The sequence below is a fragment of the Homo sapiens genome, chromosome 1, assembly GCF_000001405.40.
Source record: "Homo sapiens chromosome 1, GRCh38.p14 Primary Assembly".
Lineage (NCBI taxonomy): Eukaryota > Metazoa > Chordata > Mammalia > Primates > Hominidae > Homo > Homo sapiens.
This window is the reverse complement of record NC_000001.11, coordinates 32,368,781-32,392,924: the sequence shown is the minus strand read 5'-3', so window position 1 is coordinate 32,392,924 and position 24,144 is coordinate 32,368,781. Positions and strand designations below refer to the sequence as shown.

At 47.2% G+C, this 24,144-nt stretch overlaps 1 protein-coding gene across 7 annotated transcripts in view; it reads left to right on the top strand.

Moving 5' to 3' along the window:
• BSDC1 (BSD domain containing 1) overlaps positions 1-24,144 on the top strand; it is a 29,809-nt gene that overhangs the window by 1,517 nt on the left and 4,148 nt on the right. For 2 of the 7 annotated variants that reach the window (NM_001143888.3, NM_001300958.2), the window contains exons 3-9: positions 6,030-6,146; positions 8,877-9,095; positions 11,657-11,711; positions 14,086-14,201; positions 14,642-14,710; positions 14,877-14,955; positions 16,184-16,663. In NM_001143888.3, coding sequence (NP_001137360.1) covers positions 6,030-6,146; positions 8,877-9,095; positions 11,657-11,711; positions 14,086-14,201; positions 14,642-14,710; positions 14,877-14,955; positions 16,184-16,663 — 1,135 coding nt within the window. Of the gene's footprint in view, positions 1-6,029; positions 6,147-8,876; positions 9,096-11,656; positions 11,712-14,085; positions 14,202-14,641; positions 14,711-14,876; positions 14,956-16,183; positions 16,664-23,586; positions 23,696-24,144 lie in introns of all 7 variants that reach the window. The other 5 variants (NR_125352.2, XM_047423812.1, NM_018045.8 and 2 more) reach the window with 5 other exon arrangements.

Below are 24,144 nucleotides of genomic sequence, written 5' to 3'. Positions count from 1 at the left end.
TCCTGGCTAATTTTTGTATTTTTAGTAGAGACAGGGTTTCACCATGTTGGCCAGACTGGTCTCGAACTCCTCACCTCAGGTGAGCCACCTGCCTCAGCTTCCCAAAGTGCTGGGATTATAGGCGTGAGCCACCACACCCAGACATCTGGGAGCGTTTTTATTCCTCCCTTATCCTGGGTACTCCTGGACAGCCTCTCAGCAATAGCCCAGCAAATCTGAGAATGCCCTGAGCTGTTTATGTTGTTGATGAGGACTGAGAGGCTTGCACCCTAACATTTGATAGAAGAGACCCGATAGTAGCATATTTCCTGTTGGGTAATTTCCTGGCAGGAAAGTCTGACATTCATTCAGCAGATGTTGCATGAGGGCCTCCTGTGTTTGTCTCAAGGTTGGTCTTATCATAACTTATGAAAAATAGATAGTTGGCCAACCTTCCGTCTTCATTCTTGGAATTCCCAGTTAAAAGCTGGGGTGGGGGTGGAGGTGGGAGTTGTTTATGCCTTTTTGGAAAGAAAAGACGTAATTTCCCTTTTTTTACTTTCTTACTCTTATATGTACTTGGGCAAGTGTTTTTTGTTTTTTGTTTGTTTGTTTTTGAGACCAAGTCTGGCTCTGTTACCAGGCTGGAGTGCAGTGGCTCAGTCTCAGCTCTGCAACTTCCGCCTCCTGAGTTCAAGTGATTCTCCTGCCTCGGCCTCCTGAGTAGCTGGGATTACAGGCATGTGCCACCACGCCCAGCTAATTTTTCTATTTTCAATAGAGACAGGGTTTCACCATGTTGGCCAGGCTGGTCTCAAACTCCTGACCTCAGGTGATCCGCCTGCCTCGGCCTCCCAAAGTGCTAGGATTACAGGTGTGAGCCACCACGCCTGGCCTCTTGGGCAAGTTTTTAACCTCTCTAGGCCTCAGTTCCTCATCTATAAAATGGGAATACTAACAATACCTACTTGATGAGATTGTGGTGATGGTTAAATGTTAATATATGTAAAACACTAAGAACAGTACCTAGCATACAGTAAGTGCTATATAAGCATTAGCTGTTATTAAGTGCTGAGGCTGATGGGAAAACCTCTTAGATACCACCCCCAGTTCGTTTTTCCTTCCATTTTTTTTCTTGGTCTTTTGGTGCTTTCCTATCTGTATGTCCCATTCTGGCTCCATCTGGACCACTCACTTCTCAGCACTCCTTAGAACACATTGCCCTGAAGACCACAGCTATGAGATGGTGCTATCATCTGCTTTCCTCTGCTCCTTACCTCCTCCTGTCCTGTCTTCCTGTGTGTTGTCAAGGGCAATATGACTGACACAAATACGTGTGCATACACGTTGATAGAGAAAGGCATATCATTGCTCTACATACTTACCAGAAAGAAGAAATTAAAAAGAGAAAGGCACCAAATGCTTTTTGGTTCCATCACAGATTCCCCAACCTCATCTGGGCCCACATACTCTTCAGTCTCCAATTTGCTTCTCCTCCCCTTAACTTCAGAAACTTTCCCAAAACCTAACTCTTCCCTGGGGTCCCCTATTCAGCCGCTTTATCCCTTTCACTTCCAGGAGACAACCTCATCTACTTTTTGAAACTTCAGGTGAACAAACAGGATCTTTAACTCTCTCCCCACCCTCAAAGCCACCACCTATAAACTTATCTTTACTCAGTCAGCTTTACCTACTGCTTGCCAAATCCAGTGGGTGGTTTTCAGCCCTTATCTTCCTGGACCATTCTGCTGCATTTGACGCTAGTGATCACTCCCTCTCTTGAAACGCTACTCTCTTGGCATTTGTGACATGATTCTTAAGTCTCCACATACTTCTCCAGACGTTGCTTTTGTAACTGTCTCATGAGTTCCTCTTCCTCTGCTTGCCCCCTACAGGTAGTGTCTGAGGACACTTGTCCTCAGCCCATTGCTCTGTCCACTTTCCAAACTCTTCCTGGGTCACCTTCTCCACTTTCCTGTTAGGGCGACTCTTAGACCTTTTGCCTGAACTTTAGTGTTGTGTTTTGCTTTGTTTTGAGATGGGCTCTCACTTTGTCACCCAAGCTGAAGTGCAGTGATGCAAACATGGTTCTCTGCAACCTCCACTTCCTGGATTCAAGCAATCCTCCCACCTCAGGCCCCCAAGTAGCTGGGACTATAGGCGTGTACCATCACGCCCAACTAATTTTTGTATTTTTTGTAGAGATGAGATCTCGCCATGTTGCCCAGGCTGGTCTCAAACCCCTAGGCTCAAGCAGTCTGCCCACCTTGGTCTCCCAAAGTGCTGGGACTACAGGCATGAGCCACCATGCCCGGCCAGCTTTAGTGTTTGAGGATAGCTATTGCTGGACAGCTATCCTAGACAGCCCACAGTCATCTCAAGTTCTGCGTGCCCAAAGTCATTGTTACCACCTTGTCTCTAGGACTGCTCCTCCTCCAGGATTTTCTCACTTAGCTGGCAGTACTGCATCTACGCAGTCACCTATTTTAGCAGCCTGTGGTGCTTCCATGATTCTTTTCTAGCCCTCAGTCAACATACCTGTTCAGTCACCAAATCCACCTTCTTCCATCTCCTGTATCTTGAACCAGTCTCATCCTCTCCATCTTTACTAGCATTGTCCTTACTCACATTTTTCTATTTTCTTTCCTGGATTATTGCAGCAGCCTCCTGACTGGTCTTCCTTCTTCCTCTTCTAATCTTCTCGCCTCTGGACCTTTCCTCCATTCCAGTCACTGGAGTAATTTAGTGAAAAGGCAAATCTCATGTCCCACCCACTTCAAACCTTTGGTGGCTCCCCATCATCCATAGGGCTGACCAGGCTCTCCCTGGTTGCCCTTGGCAACCTCTCCAGCTTTATCCCTCACCACTCTTGCTTCACATTTTATGTCCATCAGGACTGTAATGCTTGTAGACGTCACTAAACCCATGTCAACACTTCTTAGCTGACTCCTGTTCTTTTTTTTTTTTTTTTTTGAGACAGGGTCTCACTCTGTTACCCAGACTGGAGTGCAGTGGCATGATCACAGCCCACTGCAGCCTCAACCACCCAGGCTCAGGTGATTCTCCCACCTCAGCCTCCTGGGTAGCTGGGACTATAGGCGTGTACCACCACTTCTGGCTAATTTTTTGTATTTGTGTGTGTGTGTGTGTGTGTGTGTGTGGAGACGGTTTTGCCATAGTGTCCAAACTGGTCTCAAATTCCTGGGCTCAAGCAATCCTCCTGCCTCGGCTTCCCAAAGTGCTGGGATTACAGGCATCAGCCACTGCACCTGGCCCACATCAATACTTCTTAACCAACTCCTGTTCATTCTTTAAGGGCCCATTCCAGGCTTCTGGTCACCACATCTTCCCAACCTCCCCATAGTACAGCAGCTACTGCTCTGCCCTTGCACATCAGCACTATCATGGGACCATTTTCCCCAGTAGACTGTGACCTGCTTGAGGGCAACGTATGTTCATGTTTGTCTGCTCAGAGCTCACAGTCTAGCGGGAAGACAACTGTTTAGTCACACAAGTGGTTACATAATTGAAATTTCAATGGTCCATGTAAATTTAACAAGCAAACATTTTTTGAGTACCTACTGTATGCTCTGTGTCAGATACTGGGGAACCATCAGGGAACAAAACACATAGGACCTGTGTTCACACAACTCACAGTTTATCCAGGAAGACAGACATTGAACAGGTCATCTGAAGTCTAAACTATGTTCAGTGTTAGAAAAGAGATAAATTGGGAGGCCAAGGTGGGCGAATCATGAGGTCAGGAGATCGAGACCATCCTGGCTAACACAGTGAAATCCCGTCTCTACTAAAAATACAAAAAATTAGCTGGGCTTGGTGGCGGGCGCCTGTAGTCCCAGCTACTCGGGAGGCTGAGGCAGGAGAATGGCATGAACCCGGGAGGCAGAGGTTGCAGTGAGCAGAGATCGCGCCACTGCACTCCAGCCTGGGTAACAGAGCGAAACTCCATCTCAAAAAAAAAAAAAAAGAAAAAAAAGAAGAAGAGATAAAGCAGGGAGAGCCAGCTGAGCCTGAAGAGGCAGCAGGAAGCCCCTCTAGGGAAATGAAGCATAGACGTTGAGGATGAACAGGAGTTTTCCAGATAAGAGGGTTCCTTCATCGTGTTTACAGACTTGGTTTTTTTGAAGAGTTAGAACTCTGTATCAGGGAGAGGAAACAATGTGTTCAGATACTCTGAGGCAGGACAGATGCTAGGGCATTTTAGAAACTTGAGGAAGGCCAGCTGGAGCTCAGTGAACGGCACAGTGGTAGGGGATACCAGTCTGCCAGAGGCCAAGTTATATAGGCTTTGTAAGTAAAGGTGGATTTTCAATTTGCTCTTAGGATAGTGTGTAAACTTAAAGAGTGTAAAGCAGCACGGTCTGCCCTGACAGACAAAGCACCCACTGGGTGTCATAAGGAGAATGAAGTAAAGGTGGCTGAGACAACCTGGGAGGAATCCAGGTGAAAGAATAAGTTGGCCTGGACTAAGATGGTGGCAGTGTGGATAGAAAGAGTGAATCGGTAAATGACCCAGGGCACAATTTCATGGTGCTGTGAAATATTTTTTAAAATTTTAATAAAAGTAAATAAGTAAATGACCTCCTCCACCCCCAATTAAGGAGTCCTGAGTTGATATGGAGGCATGATTACCACCCCTAGAGAAGCCTGTAGCTGATAGACTGTGCCATTCAGAAACTTCCCAAGCTAATGAAAAGTGGGCAGGCCCTTCCCAGAAGAACAAACCACAGGAGCGCTCAAAAACATGCTTTAAAAAATGCAGGTGATTATCCCCGTGTAAGATGAAAGGGCTTGCAGGGGGAGTGGCCACTGAGATACTCCAGGAAGCATCCTAGAGTTGGTGAGTCTGAAGCAAGACAGGGCAAGACCTAGAAGTGAGCTGAGGGTCTGCTTTCTCAAGTGAGGTCTGGGTGCAGGCTGAGAAACAGATTGGTTTAGCAGGAGCAAATATGCATTCTGCCCAAAGGAGCTTTGTATATGAATAGAACCTCGGGATGGTAGAACCAAGAAGGCCTCCAAGAGAATCTGATCTAGTCTTTCTCTTGACCGCTTCCTCCTTTGTTGAATGTAAAAAATCACATGCCTTTTTACTGATATTAAATTGTTAAGAATTACTCATAAAATAGCTTTCCAAGCTATTGCTGTTACTAATACAATTAGTAATTACTAATTCTTAAACCCGAAGGCAAATAACTTCACATACTGCCTCATATTTCAACTCAATTTCTCTGTAACAAAAAAAGTAAAAATAGAAACACTTTCCTTTGATAAAAAAAATCACATGCCTTAGGCTGGGTGGCTCACGCCTATAATCTCAACACTTTGGGAGGCCAAGGTGGGCGGATCACCTGAGGTTGGGAGTTCGAGACCAGCCTGACCAACATGGAGAAACCCCATCTCTACTAAAAATACAAAATTAGCTGGGCGTGGTGGCGCATGCCTGTAATCCCAGCTACTCGGGAGGCTGAGGCACGAAAATCGCTTGAACCCGGGAGGCGGAGGTTGCGGTGAGCCGAGATCGTGCCATTGCACTCCAGCCTGGGCAACGAGAGCGAGACTCTGTCTCAAGAAAAAAAAAAAAAAATCACATACCTTTTTTTCATGTTATTTGAAACTTGGTATGAATATCGTGATTTAAAGCATATCAAAGCAATTCATCAAAGTCAGTATTGTTTTCAGACTATGCCCCCTCTTTTCCTGTTTGCTCTTGAGAATCTCTGATCTAGATCACCTCATTTTACAGGAGAAAACTGAGAACTAGATGAGACTTACTCATGGCCACATAGCTTGCGAGTGCCTAGGCTGAGACTCAGTCCTCATGCTCAGAGTAGCAGGAAATTCCCCTGCACTCTCTGCTGTCAGGTAATCCCAGATCATGGAATTGGGACAAATGAGCATTGTTTCTGAGCCGAAGCTCCCCTGCCGCTGGAGATTTCCATTTGTCTGTCTGGTACTGAAGAAACACAGGGAACAGGAACAAGGGGTGGTGGGGCCAGCTGGCCCTGGCATCCCTCTCTGTCTTCCCACAGTCCTCTGAAGCCTTGGAGTTTATGAAGCGGGACCTGACGGAGTTTACCCAGGTGGTGCAGCATGACACGGCCTGTACCATCGCAGCCACGGCCAGCGTGGTCAAGGAGAAGCTGGCTGTGAGTACCACCCAAACCCTCCCAAGTAACTGCCCCTCGCAACCTGTCCTGTCCTGGGCTCCCAACCTTTCTACCATTAAGTGATTATTTTTCCATATGGGGAAAAATATGTGGATTACTTTTCCTCCCATTTTGAAAGAATTGTGTCTGGCAACCAAACAAGCTGCATATTTTAAGTAATAATTAGTTTTCCCACTTCTGTATTGTTTTAGCAAATGTTTTCCATTAGCAAAGTCATTCATGTTGACAATTTAGAAAACACAGACAAGTGAAAGAAAAGAGAAAGAATGAGAAAAGGAAGAGAGAGAGAGAAAGACCTAGAGACATCCATAATTCCATCTTCCAAAGATAGCTACTGTTAATATTTTGGGGGTGTATCACTTATGTACACTTCTTTTTCAAAACTGGGGTCAATTGAACACCATGTTTTGTAACCTATTTTTTTTTTTTTTTTTTTTTTGAGTTGGAGTCTCCATCTGTCGCCCAGGCTGGAGTGCAGTGGCGCCATCTCGGCTCACTGCAAGCTCCGCCTCCCGGGTTCATGCTATTCTCCTGCCTCAGCCTCCCAAGTAGCTGGGGCTACAGGCGCCCGCCACCACGCCTGGCTAGTTTTTTGTATTTTTTAGTAGAGACGGGGTGCACCGTGTTAGCCAGGATGGTCTCGATCTCCTGACCTTGTGATCTGCCCACCTCAATCTCCCAAAGTGCTGGGACTACAGGCGTGAGCCACCGCGCCCAGCCCTTATTTTTTTACTTAAACTGCAAACCTTATTCTAGAGTGTAGTAAGTGGCATGGTATTCCATTATGTGGATTTAACCAGTTGCTGCTTTCTTACTTCAGTTTTTTCCAGTATTGTACACTGAGCTACAGTAAACATTCTACTAAACCTTTACCCAGTGCCATAATATTTGCTTTATAATAAAATTGTGGAAAGTATCACAGAGTGGTTAGGTTAAGCCTTTTACTATCTACTCAAAACTGCCCTCCAGAAATGTTGTACCAACTTATTTTCTTACTGGTCCTGTTCTTTGGTGGTGGTGGTTATTGTTTTGAGACGGGGTCTCTCTCTCTTGCCCAGGCTGGAGTGCAGTGGCATGATCTCAGCTCATTGCAACCTTTGCCTCCTGGGCTCAAGTGATTCCCCCACCTCAGCCTCCCAAATAGCTGGGACCACAGGTGCATGCCACCACACCCAGCTAATTTTTGTATTTTTTGTAGAGATAGGGTTTCACTCTGTTGCCCAGGCTGGTCTCAAACTCCTGAGCTAAAGGGATCCACCTGCTTCGGCCTCCCAAAGTGCTGGGATTACAGGCATGAGCCACCGTGCCTGGCTTGTTTGTTGTTTTCTAATTTTAGATTCAGGGGATACATGCACAGGTTTGTTACATGGGCATATTGTGTATATGCTGAGGTTTGGGCTTTTAATGAACCCATCACCGACTAGTACCCCATAGGTAGTTTTTCAATCCTTGTCCCCCTCCCCCAATACTGTTTTTATTAATCAGAAATGTACAGTGGAAACCTCTTATAAGATGGAAGTTAGATTCTAAAGTCAGTGTGAGAAGGAAAAATTGTGGTCAAAGATATCCCTGCAAAGTTCTGAAGTTTCCAGTGAGGTAAAGCATACTGTTTTTTATATTACAATTTTTCCTTTAGCATTGGAACAGATTGCAGCTTCTTAATTTGATCACCAGCTGAATCAATTATCTTGTAATTAATTACTCATGTTACAAAAAATGAGTTTTGGAATTTTTTTAGACAAGCTTATTTTGCTGAATCCTCTTGTAAAATACCGTCCACCTGCTAATCACAGCTACTGATGAGCATGAATGACAAGTTGTAACCCTGCTAAACTGCTATAAGTCTAGTCAATAGCAGAGATATCACTTGTTTATTTCATTCATTTATTCTTTTTTTTTTCATTCAACAAATATTGTTACCTGTAACAATATGTGCCAGGCACTATGATAGGTTCTAGGTTTAAAATGCTTCAGCAGCTTAATCAAGAGTAAATAAAATTTTCCATGAGGTTTTTAGACCCTTTTCTCAGCACCCTATCCCTGTCTGCTGGAAGGCATTCTGACCAGTGTGGTCTGTATAGTGACCCTCAGTTGGTCCCAGGCAAGGCAAGGCTATCTGTTCTAATCCTGCCCATATGTTTCCAACCTTTTGTACAAAGTATTCTACTTCCTGAGCAATGATGATGATGAAATTGCAGTATTACAATGCTGCAGTTTATTAAGCGTATGCTGTGTGCCAGGCATTGTCCATACCCTATCTTTTAATCTTCATGGTAACCCTATGAAGGATGTATACTTAACCCCATTTTATAATAAGGAAACTGAGGTTCAGAAAGGGTTTCGGTCTCATGACCAACAAGTGGTAGAGCAAGGATTCAAACCAGCTTTGTCTAACTCCGAAGCTAGTACCCTTTCCACCACTCTACCCATAGGCTCTCTTCCCTGTTGATGTGTCTATGGCATGGACCTTCTCTGGCCAAGTTTTGACCGGCCTGACTGACCTTGAAATTTTGATGAAACAGCCAATCAAAGATCTCTGATCTACACAGGCCTACCATGGCCCTGTTCTGCAGCCCCACTTGGGGGATGGAGGACCCTTGCCTCCTCCCTCTCCTGCAGCCCCAGAGACGGGTGAAGGGTCGTGAGCGCTTCCCTGGTCCCCCAACACACGGTACACCTTTGCCCCAATGTTTTACCCCCATACCCCAGATTGCAGCCTGTTCCCGGGGCGCTTGCTTCCTCTGCCCGTTCTCTATACAGACGGAAGGCTCCTCAGGAGCAACAGAGAAGATGAAGAAAGGGTTATCTGACTTCCTAGGGGTGATCTCAGACACCTTTGCCCCTTCGCCAGACAAAACCATCGACTGCGATGTCATCACCCTGATGGGCACACCGTCTGGCACAGCTGAGCCCTATGATGGCACCAAGGTATTCACTGACAGTCTCCCCTGCAGATGCCTAACATCTGTAACCTGGGCTTTAACTTCCATCCTGTACTCACAAAAGCAGCCCATGTTCAGGCCAAAAAATAAATATGGGTATATTATTAATAGTAAATCAGAAAATACCAGTAAGCAAGGACAGGATAATTATTTTTAAACTCACAATTGCATCACCCAAAGAGAACCCCTGATTTCTTATTGGTATATAACCTTACATTTGTTTTTGTTTATAAACATAGGTAAAGATAGTTTGGTTTTTTCTTCTGAACAAAAAAGACATTTTATACATGCAGTTTTGTAACCTACTTTTAAAAAATCAACAAACATAGCATCTTTCCTAATCATCTTTTTTTTTTTTTTTAATGAGACAGGGTCTCACTCTGTCACCCAAGCTCTCTCTGGGGCTCAGTGGCACAATCATGGCTCATTGCAGCCCCGACTTTCCAGGCTCAAGGGTCCTTCCACCTCAGTCTCCTGAGTAGCTGGGACCACTGGCGTGAACCACCACACCCAACTAATTTAAAAAAATTATTTTGGTAGAAACGGGGTCTCACTGTGTTGCCCAGGCTGGTCTCAAATGCCTAGGCTCAAGTGACTCCCAGCTTGGTCTCCCAAAGTGCTAGGATTACAGGAGTGAGCCACTGTGCCCAGCCAGCCATAATTTTTAATGTCTTTAAATTCTTACAAGTGAATATAGCATTATTTATTCCATTATTTCCTTCATGTTGCATATTTGGATTCCTTTCAGCTTTCAAGCATAATAAGGAACGCTGTGGAGAGCATTTTTAGAGGCATAATCTCCACATTTGGGTTATTTAGACTAATTTCTAGTAATACACGTATAGGTAAGGGGAGAGAGGTGTCTTCAGAGCACTTAAAGCAACAGCCACAGTAGCGTATTTTTGCTGCATTTTCTTTTCTTCTTCTTTTTTTTTTTTTTTTTTTTTTGAGACGGTCTCACTCTGTCACCCAGGCTGGAGTGCGGTGGCATGATCCCAGCTCACTGCAGCTTCAACTTCCTGGTCTCAAGTGTTCCTCCCACCTCAACCTCCCTAGTATCCCTAGTAGCGGGGACCACAGGCGTGCACCACCACACCTGGCCTTTTTTTTTTTTTTTTGTAGCGATGAGGTCTCCCTATTCTGCCTAGGCTGGTCTCAAACCCCTGGGCTCAAGTGATCCTCCTACCTCAGCCCCCTAAAGTACTGAGATTACAGGCGTAAGCCACCGCGCCTGGCCACATTGTATTTTCTATTTCATGGAGTGTTTTCTTCTAAATTCACAATATAATGTCATGGCAGTTGGGCCCTCTTCGTAGTTTTTTTGTTTGTTTTTTGTTTTTTGTTTTTTTTTTGAAATAGGGTCTCCCTCTGTCCCCCAGGCTGGAGTGCAGTGGTGCGATCACAGCTCATGGCAGCCTCGATCTCCTAAGGTGCTCCTCCCACCTCAGCCTCCTGAGCAGCTGGGACTATAGGCACACATCACCACGCTCAGCTAATTTTTATGCTTGTAGAAATAGGGTTTCCCCATGTTGCCTAGGCTGGCTTTGTAGCATTTTATCACATTGACTTCTGTTTTTTTTTTTTTTTTTGAGATGGAGTCTCTCTCTGTCGCCCAGACTGGAGTGCAGTGGAGCAATCTCGGCTCACTGCAACCTCCACCTCCTGGGTTCAAGCGATTCTCCTGCCTCAGCATCCTGAGTATCTGGGATTACAGGCGCACATCACCATGCCCGGCTAATTTTTGTATTTTTAGTAGAGATGGGGTTTCACCATGTTGGCCAGGCTGGTTTTGAACTCCAGACCTCCAGAGATCCACCTACCTTGGCCTCCCAGAGTGCTGGGATTACAGGCGTGAGCCACCGCACCCGGCCCACATTGAACTTTTGTTCCAAAAGTACTGATTTTTCAAGTATGTGTTTTAGCACTAGCATTAGCGCCACCACTTAGTGAACATGTGAGTGGAATTGTGAAAATGTTTGATAAGATTTTGAGCTATAACGACAGTGAATTATCACCAGACCGCTTACACATAGCCCATGCTTCCTGCAATACTGAGGAAGAAAGGTGGACTTTGTCTTTGCCAGCTAAGTTTGCCACCCTGTGATCCTAGTGGGAACGTAACTTGGTAGAGACTGGCTATACAATTAATAAATTCTTGAGTGGTTTTAATTTGAGGGAAATTGTGTTATTTTAAAATTTGTCCCTAAATTTTGACTTTATTAACATATTGGCACTAACATTTTTCAAATTTTACTTACTACAAAGCATTTTATACAAATAATTTTGTAGCCTGCTTATGCTGTATTTTCTTAGTTCTTGGGGTAGAATACTGGGTGAAAGGCCATTTTTCTGGGAACCCCAGTTTTGGATGCCTAGCCTAGTGCCCCACTCTCTGTGCCACAGTGCTAATTAACAGATGCCCTGGGGGTATCCCAGCCAACAAGGGAGAAGCTGGATTGTGGTTGACTGAGTATCCTGGCAGAGAAAGGGTGCTTTCTATGCCCAGTATCTCAGAATTTCTGTTTTCCTCTTCTCCTTTTCTTACAGGCTCGCCTCTATAGCCTGCAGTCGGACCCAGCAACCTACTGTAATGAACCAGATGGTGAGAGGGTAGCACTGAGCGGGTGGGCTTGTAGGGCAAGTAGACTAAGGGGGCTGGGTTGTAGACCCTGTTTGTCTCAGGTAGCAGAGGCCGGGCACCCCCTATGTAGGGAGACCAGAGTGAGACTAGTGTGTACCTTATACTTTGTGGGGTGGGTGGATGTTCTCTTTTCTTTCCTGAACTTGAGCTGTCCTGCCCACCCTGCAGGGACTTGGCCCCTCTCATCCCTCATCCTCAGCTCAGCCTCCCTCCCAGCCCTGCTGCCCCCCTTGCCTTCTCTTCAGCTCCTGTTAGCTAAGCCCCTGCCATGCAGCAAACCCCATTATGGGAACTGGAGATCAGAAATGAGCCAAACCCTCCACCTAGTCCAACCCTCCAGGAACTGGCAGTTAAGAGGGGGAAAGCAGAAACAGTCAATAAAGTAGAAATACTAGAGAGCAGCATGACTGCTTCTGCAGAGCAGCGGGGCAGCAGGAGCCAGAGGAATGGCACCCTTCCTGGCCTGGGAACCAAGCAAGTGATGCTGGAGTTGGGTTTTGTTTGTTTGTTTGTTTGTTTGTTTGTTTTTGAGATGGAGTCTCACCCTGTCTCCCAGGATGGAGTGCAATGGCGCGATCTCGGCTCACTGCAACCTCCGCCTCCCGGGTTCTAGCAATTCTCTTTCCTCAGCCTCCCGAGTAGCTGGGCTTACAGGCGCCCGCCACCACATCTGGCTAATTTTTGTATTTTTAGTAGAGACAGGGTTTCACCATGTTGGTCAGGCTGGTCTCAAACTCCTGACCTCAGGTGACCCACCCGTCTCAGCCTCCCAAAAATGCAGGGATTACAGGCATGAGCCACCGTGCCTGGACGGAGTTGGGGTTTTAAGGTTAAATTAGAAATCAGCTAGTTTCACTATGAGAAGTCGGGAAGAGCATTCAGGCAAAGAGAGTGGGCAGAGAGAGCAGGGAGCACCCGCCTTTTAGTAACGCCGGGTTAAAGGGTGCGTATGAGGAAGTGAAGGCAGTGAGAGCAGCTCGTGGGAGCCAGATTGTGAAGAGCTTTGTGTGCCAGACCAGGCAGTTGGAATTTTGGCCTAAAAGGCTCACAGTAGTAGCTCTAGACCTCTCTTTAGTCACAAAGGCCTTTACAAATCTATTGAAAATGACAAGCCCTCTCTCCACCAAACTTTTTGTGCAATATGAGAATTCTTTGACCCTTTGAAGCCCATCTTGGACTCCAGCTTAAAAAGCCCTCCCATAGAGAGCCAATGAAAGGTTTTGAGGCCTGGGGTGATCAGAGTTTGCATTTTGTAAAGCAGCCCTTGGGGCAGCATTGTGAAGAATGAAATAGAGAGAAAGACAGAAGACAGGAAGACCAGTTAGGAGGCTAGGTAGGAATCCCGTGTCAGAGGTAAGGCCAGAACCTAGGAAGAGTCAGTTGGCATGAAGAGGACAGTGTACATATAAAAGACACAAGTTAGCCAGGCATGATGGCGTGCCCGTAGCCTCAGCTATTCGGAAGGTTGAGGCAGGAGGATCACTTGGGCCCAGAAGTTCAAGGTTGCAGTGAGCCACGGTTGTGCCACTGCACTCCAGCCTGGTGACAGAGCAAGCCTCTATCTCTCAAAAATAAAAAGGAGACACTGAGGAAGTGTGATCCAGAGTGATTGGATAAGGGAGGAGATAGGATGGCCCCCAGGTTGGATAACCCTGTCAGATAACCAGATGGGAAGGAAAATGAGCACACGGTGTGTTTGCAGGTGGAAGTATCGGGGGTACCTGGACCTCTGGATCTGGGGCCAAGAGAGTAGCCTGGGCTGCAAAGAGACACAGGAATTATCAGTGGGAGGATGAGGTTGAAACTTGTGGTTTAGTGGCAATTATTTTGGGAAAAAAAATAAAAAGCCAGAGAGATATGGAAAGGAAAGGAAAACGAGAAGCCCACAGAGACTCAGATGGACCAACCAGAGAAGTGGAGGAAAATAACAAAGGAGTGAGAAACCAGGAGAGACGAGGGCTTCAGGAGAAAGGCAATGGCCCCCAGAGTCAGAGATGGTCACACGAGGGAAGACAGAGAAATAGATGTTGGCTTTGGCAGCTGGGGTCATGAGACCTGAGAACAGCTGTTTCAGAGATGAGGAGATTCAGCAGCCAGGTGCCATGGGCTAAAAAGCCAGCAGGGATATGAGAAAATGGAGACTGCAGCCCCTTCTGGAGATCACTCAGGTGCGGCACCCGCCCCTTCACCCTGCCTGACCCCCTACCCTTGGCTAAGTGGCTTTGAATACACAAGCTTTCTTCATTTTCCATGTCCAGCCTTAGATATGTTCTGTAAGCCCAGTGTTCTTTTCCCAGACCAAGGCAACTGACCGTCAGCATCTGTCCCTCTGCAGGGCCCCCGGAATTGTTTGACGCCTGGCTTTCCCAGTTCTGCTTGGAGGAGAAGAAGGGGGAGATCTCAGAGCTCCTTGTAGGCAGCCCCTCCATCCGGGCCCTCTACACCAAGATGGTGAGGGCCCAGCCTGCAGGGCCTCAGCCAGCTCCAGGCTTGAGGTGTTGGGAGGTGGGAGGGACATGTTCAGAGTCACTGCAGAGTCATCTGGCCCGGAGAGCACTGGGAGGCTCCATAGAGCCAGACCAGCTGTGTCCTGAGCCAAGACCCCACATGGGAGAAGCTGGTTTGCCAGGCTTCTGGCAATCAGAGAATGGTGAGAAATGGAAGGGCCAGCAAAGCCTGATGGGAGTTCTTTTCTCACTCCTTGGCCAACCCGGACTAGGAAGGTGGGTCTGGCTGAAACTTTGGTGGGGGTGGAAGTGCTCTGACTGTCACTGCTAAGCCACTTACTGGGTCTGAAATCCAGACTGGCTGGGAATAGACTGATAAGGCTGGGGACACAGACCCCACACAAACACTCCCAAAGTCTCACCTCCATTTTCCCCTCCCTCCAGGTTCCAGCAGCTGTTTCCCATTCAGAATTCTGGCATCGGTATTTCTATAAAGTCCATCAGTTAGAGCAGGTATGCTGGTCTAGCATGGGGAGGTCCCCACTCAACCCTGGGGGAAGCAGGCTGGATTTATTGAGAGAAGAAAGGGATACAGGGTGCCAAGAGTTGTGGGATCAGGACCAGGGTCTAGGAAGAGGGTGCCCTGACTGCCTGTGGCCTTCTGCTCCCCCACATTCAGGAGCAGGCCCGGAGGGACGCCCTGAAGCAGCGGGCGGAACAGAGCATCTCTGAAGAGCCCGGCTGGGAGGAGGAGGAAGGTAAGAGGCGTTGAGAGGTGAGGGGCAAGTGTCACATCTGTGCGGGACGCTCTGGGCTGGGCCATGCTCTCTGAAGCCTGGAGAGACTTGGTGCCCATCAGGGAAGAGTAGGGAACAAGCACATTGTATGTGTGAGGATAGGCGGAGCTAACAAGGGGATATTGAACAAGGCTAGTGGAATTCCGATTTAGCTACAGAAATCACATGTGTCAGTTGGTGTAGATTCCCCTGCCAGCCCATGAACCAGCTGCCGCTTAGTCACTGGGGAGCTTCTTGAAAATCCAGATTCCTTTCCCCACCTTCTAAAGAAGACTGTAAAGATGCGGCCAGACATGTATTTTAAACAAGTTCCCTGGTAATATTAATGCCCAGGCTGGTTTGGGAACCACTGAGTTAGGGAGGGAGCTGAGCATCTTCTACCTGTAGCTCAGCTTAGAACAGCATGTTGAAGCCTTCTGGATGATATAATATTAACGCATTTCTTGTTTACACCATATGTCCAGGCTGCCCTAAGAGCTCTACACAGAGTCCTTACCACAACCCCATTACCCCTCTTAAGGATAAAAGTAAGTTAAGAGTAAGTTAAAAGTTAGGTGGCTTGCCCAATCATACACCTAGGATGTAGCAGAGTCCAACCTGAACCCAAAACTGACTCACTTCTGAGCCTTGGCTTTCTAATCCATAACAGCCCCTTGGACTGCATTGCTGGAAGCCCACCAGGCATTAGGCCCCAGGGCTAAACAGGACTTTGACTAGCAGGGACTGTCTGCAGAAGCGTTGTGATGGCGAAGGGGTGAGCTGAATGACACTATTGAGTCTTTTTTTTTTCGTTTTGAGGCAGAGTCTCACTCTGTCATCCAGGCTGGAGTGCAGTGGCGCAATCTCCGCCCACTGCAACCACCGCCTCCCGGGTTCAAGCGATTCTCCTGCCTCAGCCTCCCAAGTAGCTGGGATTACAGGCACGTGCCACCACACCCAGCTAATATTTTTTGTATTTTTAGTAGAGATGGGGTTTCACCGTGTTGGCCAGGCTGGTCTCAAAAACTCCTGACCTCAGGTGATCCACCCGCCTCATCCTCCCAAAGTGGTGGGATTACAGGTGTGAGCCACCATGCCCGGCTTGAGTCTTGATCAGAGTACACTTTGGCAGGAACTTGAGAGCTCCAAGGTTGTCTTATGGCTGGCCAGGTTACATTTCCCTCTTGCCCCTCCCTTTCTCTCTCTACAGAGGAGCTCATGGGCATTTCACCCATATCTCCAAAAGAGGCAAAGGTTCCTGTGGCCAAAATTTCTACATTCCCTGAAGGAGAACCTGGCCCCCAGAGCCCCTGTGAAGAGAATCTGGTGACTTCAGTTGAGCCCCCAGCAGAGGTGACTCCATCAGAGAGCAGTGAGAGCATCTCCCTCGTGACACAGATCGCCAACCCGGCCACTGCACCTGAGGCACGAGTGCTACCCAAGGACCTGTCCCAAAAGCTGCTAGAGGCATCCTTGGAGGAACAGGGCCTGGCTGTGGATGTGGGTGAGACTGGACCCTCACCCCCTATTCACTCCAAGCCCCTAACGCCTGCTGGCCACACCGGCGGCCCAGAGCCCAGGCCTCCAGCCAGAGTAGAGACTCTGAGGGAGGAGGCGCCCACAGACTTACGGGTGTTTGAGCTGAACTCGGATAGTGGGAAGTCTACACCCTCCAACAATGGAAAGAAAGGTAGGTCTGGAGGTCCAAGCCCAGAGGGTTGTGTGCGGTCAGGGCCACCTCCTGAGGCAGATTTGTCTCCTTGTCCCTTGTTAGGATACTATGAGCAGATTTTTTTTCGTTTCTGATAATGATGACAGCTGCTATATATTGACTATTTGCTAACATATTTCATTCTAAGTTGCACAACATCTCTGAAATAAGAATGCATCTTCAATTGTTGGCATCTTAAGAGTCAACAAAACAAGTTTGATGCCAGATCCCATGCTAAATATGTTATATGGCACCTAATTTCTCAGTATTATTGTCCTCATTTTACAAATGAAAAAAAGTGAGGCCCAAAAATATTAGGTAACTTGCCCAAGTTCACATGGCCAGGAGGCCCAGATTCAGACCCAGGGCTGTCTGACTCCAAGCCCATGCCCTTAACTAGCACACTGTGCCAATTTCTATCTTTTTGGACAATTTAACCTTACCCTGGCTTGGGAATCCCAGTGACATTGATGTTAAGGGTCTTCTTCCTGTGTAACCTTAGGAAAGTCATTCAGCTTCCCCAAGCCTTCGTTATTATGAAATATATAAACAAAACTCATACCTACAGTTTAAAGAAGAAATAATGAACACCCATGAATTTACAGCGACCCAGCTTGAGTAATGGAGCTTCAGTTTCTTATCTGTGTAATGGAATTTTAGACTGGAGACTCTGAGTTTATGTCAAAGAGCAACCTCTGTAACTGCAGGAATTAAAGGACAAGGATAGCCTTGGTGTCAGTCAGCCTTTTTGCCACATCCAAAATACCACTTCAGGGACGGCTGATTATCACTAAGAACCCCCCCTCCAGTCCCCCCACCACCTGTACACTTCACACACACATCCTCCTGTCTTTGCTAACACTCAGCACCAGCCACAGCCACAAAGCTTGCCCAGCAGGTAAGGCCTGGCCTGCTGGTGTAGTAAGGGACTGGTTTGCCACAGTGGATGGGAAATGGACCCCACCCCACCCCTAACCTATTCCCTGATGGAAACCATAGAGTTTCCAGTCTCCAACCCAGTGTCTCCCTTCTGACTTTGATCAATGAGGTCATCCATTGGGCTCCTACCTGGTTTTTATTGTTTTTTTTTTGAGGCGGAGTCTCACTGTCGCCTAGGCTGGAGTGCAGTGGCGCGATCTCGGCTCACTGCAACCTCCGCCTCTCAGGTTCGCGCCATTCTCCTGCCTCAGCCTCCCGAGTAGCTGGGACTACAGGCGCATGCTATCATGCCCGGCTAATTTTTTGTATTTTTAGTAGAGATGGGGTTTCACTGTGTTAGCCAGGATGGTCTCGATCTCCTGACCTTGTGATCTGCCTGCCTCGGCCTCCCAAAGTGCTGTGATTACAGGCGTGAGCCACCGTGCCCGGCCTGAGCTCCTACCTGTTCTTTATGAGACACTGAGTGGGAGAGGGGCAGAAGCCGCAGCCTTTGTGAGGAAGCATAAAGCAGGGTGGGCCAGTCTGGTACTGGAGGAGTTCAGAGAAAGAAGGAATCTCTGGACATCTGCGGTGCTTCACTGAGGAGACAAGCCTCGTATAGGAGAGTTGGTGAGTTTGGGGCAGGTGCAGGGGAGTGGTAGTCTAAGCTGAGGAGGCCTACAAAGACTAGCTAGCAAAGGGCATGGGGCATGTTTAAGGCGCGGTGACCTAAACCCACTCTTCTGTATTCTCTCCCAGGAGAAGGAGGTACAAGAAGGGTGAGTGGGTTGACTCAGAAATAGAACTTCAGAATTTAAAACCTTAAGCTGGATTCAGAAGGTTGGCCTTGGGGCCATAAAGCAGCAGAGCATGGATGCTAAGGCTGTGGGTTCTGGAGTTCAGACAGTTCTGGGTTCAAATCCCAACTTTGTTCATAAGTCATGTGACTTCAGAAAGATTACTAATCTTCTCTAAGCCTTTGTTTGCTCCTCCATAAACGGGATAATTGTTTCATGATAGATCCTCAGTCAGAGCAGAATTAAGTAGAGCCCTGCTTTGGGGAAATGAAAATAGAGGTAACATTCTCTGAGCACTTTCTCTGTGTCTAGATCTGTGCTAAGCACAGATGCATATGCACAGTAATATGCATATTACTCAATCCTTACAAAAGCCCTGTGAGATCTGTGTACTTTTTCTCATATTTCTAGTGGTAGGAACCTGAGATCAGTGACCCACCCAGTAAATATTTCAGTGTGAAATAGTCCTGTAGAAGAGGGAGGAGTAGGTGGTGGGCCTGACAGGTGTAATAGGGTTGCTGGGTGGATGGTCCCAGGGCCCACTGAGGTTGTGATTGTAGGTTTTAAGTGAGACCATCAACATGTTGTATTTTTGTTCAGCCATATTCAGTTGCTCAGGTGCAGGAACAGAGCAGATGGGGAGTTGGATCTAATTAGGTTCAAGTTTAGCCAGGTAAAATCAGTTGATGAAAAGAAGAAAGTCCGCTGGGCACAGTGGCTCACACCTATAATTGCAGTACTTAAGGGAGGCTGAGGCAGGTGGATCGCTTGAGCCCAGGAGTTTAAGACCAGCCCTGGCATTGTGATGAAACCCCATCTCTACAGAAAATACAAAAAATTAGCCAGATGTGGTGGCACGTGCCTGTAGTCCCAGCTACTCGGGAGGCTGAGGTGGGAGGATCACCTGAGTGGGGAGGTTGAGGCTGCAGTGAGTTGAGATTGCTGCACTGCCCTCCAGCCTGGGTGACAGAGCTGAGACCCTGTCTCAAAAAAATAGGAAAGAAAAGAAAGTATATGCAAGAAGTGATAAGAATGATGCCTCATGGAATCTGAGCTGAGTACGGGAGAGAATGAGGGATAGTGAAACAGTTGGAGGGTTACAAATTATAGGTTTCATTTGGAATTGGGCTACAAAGGGTGATCAGAAAAAATCAGTAGTGGTTGGAGACTGGATGGAATTGAAATTACAGGAGAGGTAAACATAAGCTCTTAACTACTCTGCTATGCTGCCTCTGCTGCCCTCAGGGCCTGTGAAAGGAGAGGCTGAGGATGTGCTATAGAAGACTCACAAGAAACAACCGTAGTCAGGTGGGAGGAAGCCAGAGTCTTGGACTAGGCTGGAACAGTGGGAACAGAGTAGAAGAAATAAAAAGAAGAATGGGGGCTTGGAGACAAAGTGACTCCTTTTTCCTGTTGGGCCCAAGTCCTAGGGTGACATAAGGCTTGGTCTCTGGGTATAGCAGAGTCTCTTGGGGTACCCTAGCCAAAGGGTTTTACTGGTTCCCAGGGTGATCCCTGTCATCGCAGAGCTGCTTTCCACCTATGTTTTGTCACAGCATTCGTCTGTTCTGAGAGACTGGACTTCTTTCTGCAGAGAAGGGGAGGAGAGATTGGGGCAGGCCTGTGGCCTGGAAGGAGCCTGGAGGTTAAGACCTCACTTCATGACCGTGTGACCTAAGAGCAGTTTTGCCTCTATTTCTTAACTGGGGAAGCAGAGAGCCGATTAAACAGAATAAAATGAGCTGTGAGTGACAGCACTACAAAGTTAGCAATCACCCGAAAACTTCCATTTTCAAAACCAAACCAGTAGAACTCCATTCTGAAGTCTTAAATTGTAGCATAGGCCACCTCTCTGCCACATGCACATTGTAATGGAGATCTTAGTGCTCTCCTTGTGTGACAGGGTAGGACGGTGGAAGGAGGCAGATGGCAGAGAGAACCCAGCTTCACAGCTCCCTGCACCACCTGAAGCCTTCATTTCCTCATCCGTATACTGGGACTGTTAATACCCACCCAAGAGCTAGATGTGGAATATTCCAGAAATGTTAGTGGATACTCTGTTCTCTACCCCTGAAAGGTTCTGCCATAGCATTTAAGCCTGAAGAGACAGTTTCAAGTCCCTAGAGGGCAACCTGAGGTTAGGGAAAGCTGTCATGGCCACAACCAAAGCCCTGAAGTGAGGAAGCAGCGAAGAGTCTGGCTAACCCACAGGAAGCCTGTGGTGACAGCCAGATGAATGTCACCTAAGTGTCCTGAAGGCACAGAGGGATGTAGGTGCAGAGTCAGAAGAGCTGGGTCTTGGCTGCCCTGACTTCCTGAGGTACCGTGTACAGAATGACATAACTCTGAGACAAGGCCCTTAGAAGAAAGGCAGCACCATTCATTACATAGCCATGTGTATGTATGTAATAGGCACTTTACATTCATACCTCTAATTCTAACACCATTGTTTCTCAAACGGCAGGGCCAGGTCTACACAGAACACACAGGTACCTGCTTATAATGCAGCCTTCCCAGCCACCAGCTAGACCTGCTGAGTCTTAGTTGGGACTGGGGGTGGGCAGGGTAGGAGTCTGTATTTTAATACGCTTCTCCAGTGGTTCTTTGCAGAGGTTGCTTTTATCCATATTTTATAAATAGACTGAAGCCAACAATAATTTGCCCAAGACTACACAGTAAAGGAGTAGGTATTCAACCCAGGTCTGCCTGGCCCCAGAGACCATGCTCTGGCTAGAAGAGAGGATGATGCAGGATACCATAGAAGGAATGTGGGAGCGGGGCTGAGGGGTAGGTCTCAGCGCGGAGGCATCTGGTGAGGAGTAGGTCGGAGAAGAAGAAACGGAGATGTTTACTGGTCATGCCGTTGGAGGATCAGGGACCCACTCTTTTTAAAGGTACTTAAAAAAAAAGACTACAGGCTGGGTGCGGTGGCTCACGCTTGTAATCTCAGCACTTTGGGAAGCCGAGGCGGGCAGATCACGAGGTCAGGAGATCGAGACCATCCTGGCTAACACGGTGAAACCCCATCTCTACTAAAAATATAAAAAATTAGCCGGGCGTGGTGGCGGGCGCCTGTAGTCCCAGCTACTCAGGAGGCTGAGGCAGGAGAATGGTGTGAACCCAGGAGGCAGAGCTTGCAGTGAGCCGAGATTGTGCCACTGCACTCCAGCCTGGGCGAGAGTGAGACTCCATCTCAAATAAAAAAAAAAAAAAAAAAAAAAAGATTACAAAGTCGTATGTGTTCATTTTAGGAAAAAAATTAAGGAAAATCACCTCATGAACTCATCACCTAGAGATAACTTTGCTAGTGTATTTGGATATCTTGCTCATCTCTTCTGCATGTGTGCATGCATCTATGGGCACATTTTAAAGCTGGAATCTTACTGTACATGCTTTATTGAAAGGAACTATTTGTGTAGTTTACTTCTTAGTAATAACTTTTATATATATCTTTTTAATATTACCTGTAAGAAGTCATAGCCAAATATGAATGTTTAGAGCAATGATCATCAAATAGTACAGACAGGCATCAGAATCATCTAGAGCAGAGGGTGGTAAGCTTTTTCTGTATAGGACCAGACCATAAATATTTTAGGCTTTTTGGGCCATGCAGTCAAAATTACTCATCTCCGCTCTTGCAGCATGAAAGCAGCCATAGACAGTATGTAAACAAATGATGTGACATGGCTAGAATTTTTTTTTTTTTTTTTTTTTTTTTTTTTGAGACGGAGTCTCACTCTGTCACCCAGGCTGGAGTGCAATGGCGGGATCTTGGCTCACTGCAAGCTCTGCCTCCCGGGTTCAAGCGATTCTTCTGCCTCAGCCTCCCGAGTAGCTGGGACTAACAGGCGCTTGCCACCACCCCCAGCTAATTTTTTGTATTTTTAGTAGAGATGGGGTTTCACCACATTAGCCAGGGTGGTCTCGATCTTCTGACCTCGTGATCCACCTGTCTCGGCCTCCCAAAGTGCTGGGATTACAAGCGTGAGCCACCACGCCCGGCGACATGGCTAGATTTGATCCCTGGGCCATAGTTTGCCAACCCCTGGTTTACAGAAAGGGTCTGTGACTATTGAGTGCCAACTATGTGTTCTAAAAACTTGAAATACATAAGAGAACAAAACAAAAGATCCTGGCACTCACAGGGCTTATATTCTAACTCCTCTATTAATATACAATAAACATATTAAGTCTGATTATGTAATATGTTAGAAAGTGATCACTACAATGGGAAAAAGAACAATCCAGAGCCAGGCGCAGTGGCTCACGCCTATAATCCCAGTACTTTGGGAGGTCAAAGCAGGCGGATCACCTAAGGTCAGGAGTTTGAGACCAGCCTGGCCAACATAGTGAAACCCCGTTTCTACTAAAAATACAAAAATTATCCAGGCATGGTGGCATGCCCCTGTAATCTCAGCTACTCAGGAGGCTGAGGCAGGAGAATCACTTGAACCTGCGAGGCAGAGGTTGCAGTGAGCTAGGATCGCGCCACTGCACTCCAGCCTGGGCAACAGAGCGAGACTCCGTCTCAAAAAATAAATAAATAAGTAAAAATACAAAAATTAGCTGGATGTGGTACCAGGCAGGTGCCTGTAATCCCAGCTACTCAGGAGGCTGAGGCAAGAGAATCTCTTGAACCCAGGAGGCGGAGGTTGCAGGGAGCTGAGATCGTGCCACTGCACTCCAGCCTGGGTGACAGAGCGAGACTCTGTCTCAGAAAAAAAAGAACAACTAGAGCAGAGTGAGGGTGATGATGGGTTGCTCTTTAAACTAGGATGGTCAGTGTAGGCCACATCTAGAAGGTACGATTTGAGCAATGGCATGAAGGAGGTGAAAAGTTGGTCTTGTAGATATCTGAGGATACGAGTTCCAGGTGCAGGGAACAGCCCATGCAAAAGCCCTAAGTTGGGAATGCGCCTGGTATGTTTCTGGAGGAACAAGATTAGTGTGGGCAGAATGGAGTGAGGAAGAAGAGGTCTACTGTTTGGGGGTCCGAGGGGAGGTTTTTGTTTTCTTTAGAGACAGGGTTTTGCACTGTCAACAGGCTGGACTGCAGTGGCATGATCATAGCTCACTGCAGCCTTGAACTCCTGGGCTCAAGTGATCACCACACCTCAGCCTCCTGAGTAGCTGGGACTCCTTAGGTGTGTACTACCATGCCTGGCTAATTTTTAAATTTTTTTCTAGAGACAAGGTCTCAGTTCACTGTTGATTTCCTCTGGAAGATTTCTGTGACTCTCTTGGAGCCTCTGGGCCAAAGTGCTTCTCCGCTCTTTAGTAACCTGCCTTTTCCGAGGTAATAGTTTAAGGCTGTTTGGCATGGATGTGAAGTTCTTCTCCAGCCTAACCTCTAACAGCCTACAGTGTTCCACCATGTAACTCACTGTTTACTTGTCTAATTCCCTGTCAGTGGGCTTTCAGATTGTTTCTAGGTTTCCATCACTATGACAGCACTGCAGTGAACACTCTTTGCTAAATTTCTGACTGAATCCAAGATTTTTCCTTAGAATAGATTCTTAAAAGTGGGGGCCAGGTGCGGTGGCTCACACCTATAATCCCAGCACCTTGGGAGGCCGAGGTGGCCAGATCATTGAGGTCAGGAGTTTGAAACCAGCCTGGCCAACATGGTGAAACCCCGTCTCTACTAAAAATACAAAAATTAGCCAGGTGTGTGGGGCGTGCGCCTGTAGTCCCAGCTACTTGGGAGGCTGAGGCAGGAGAATCGCTTGAACCTGGGAAGCAGAG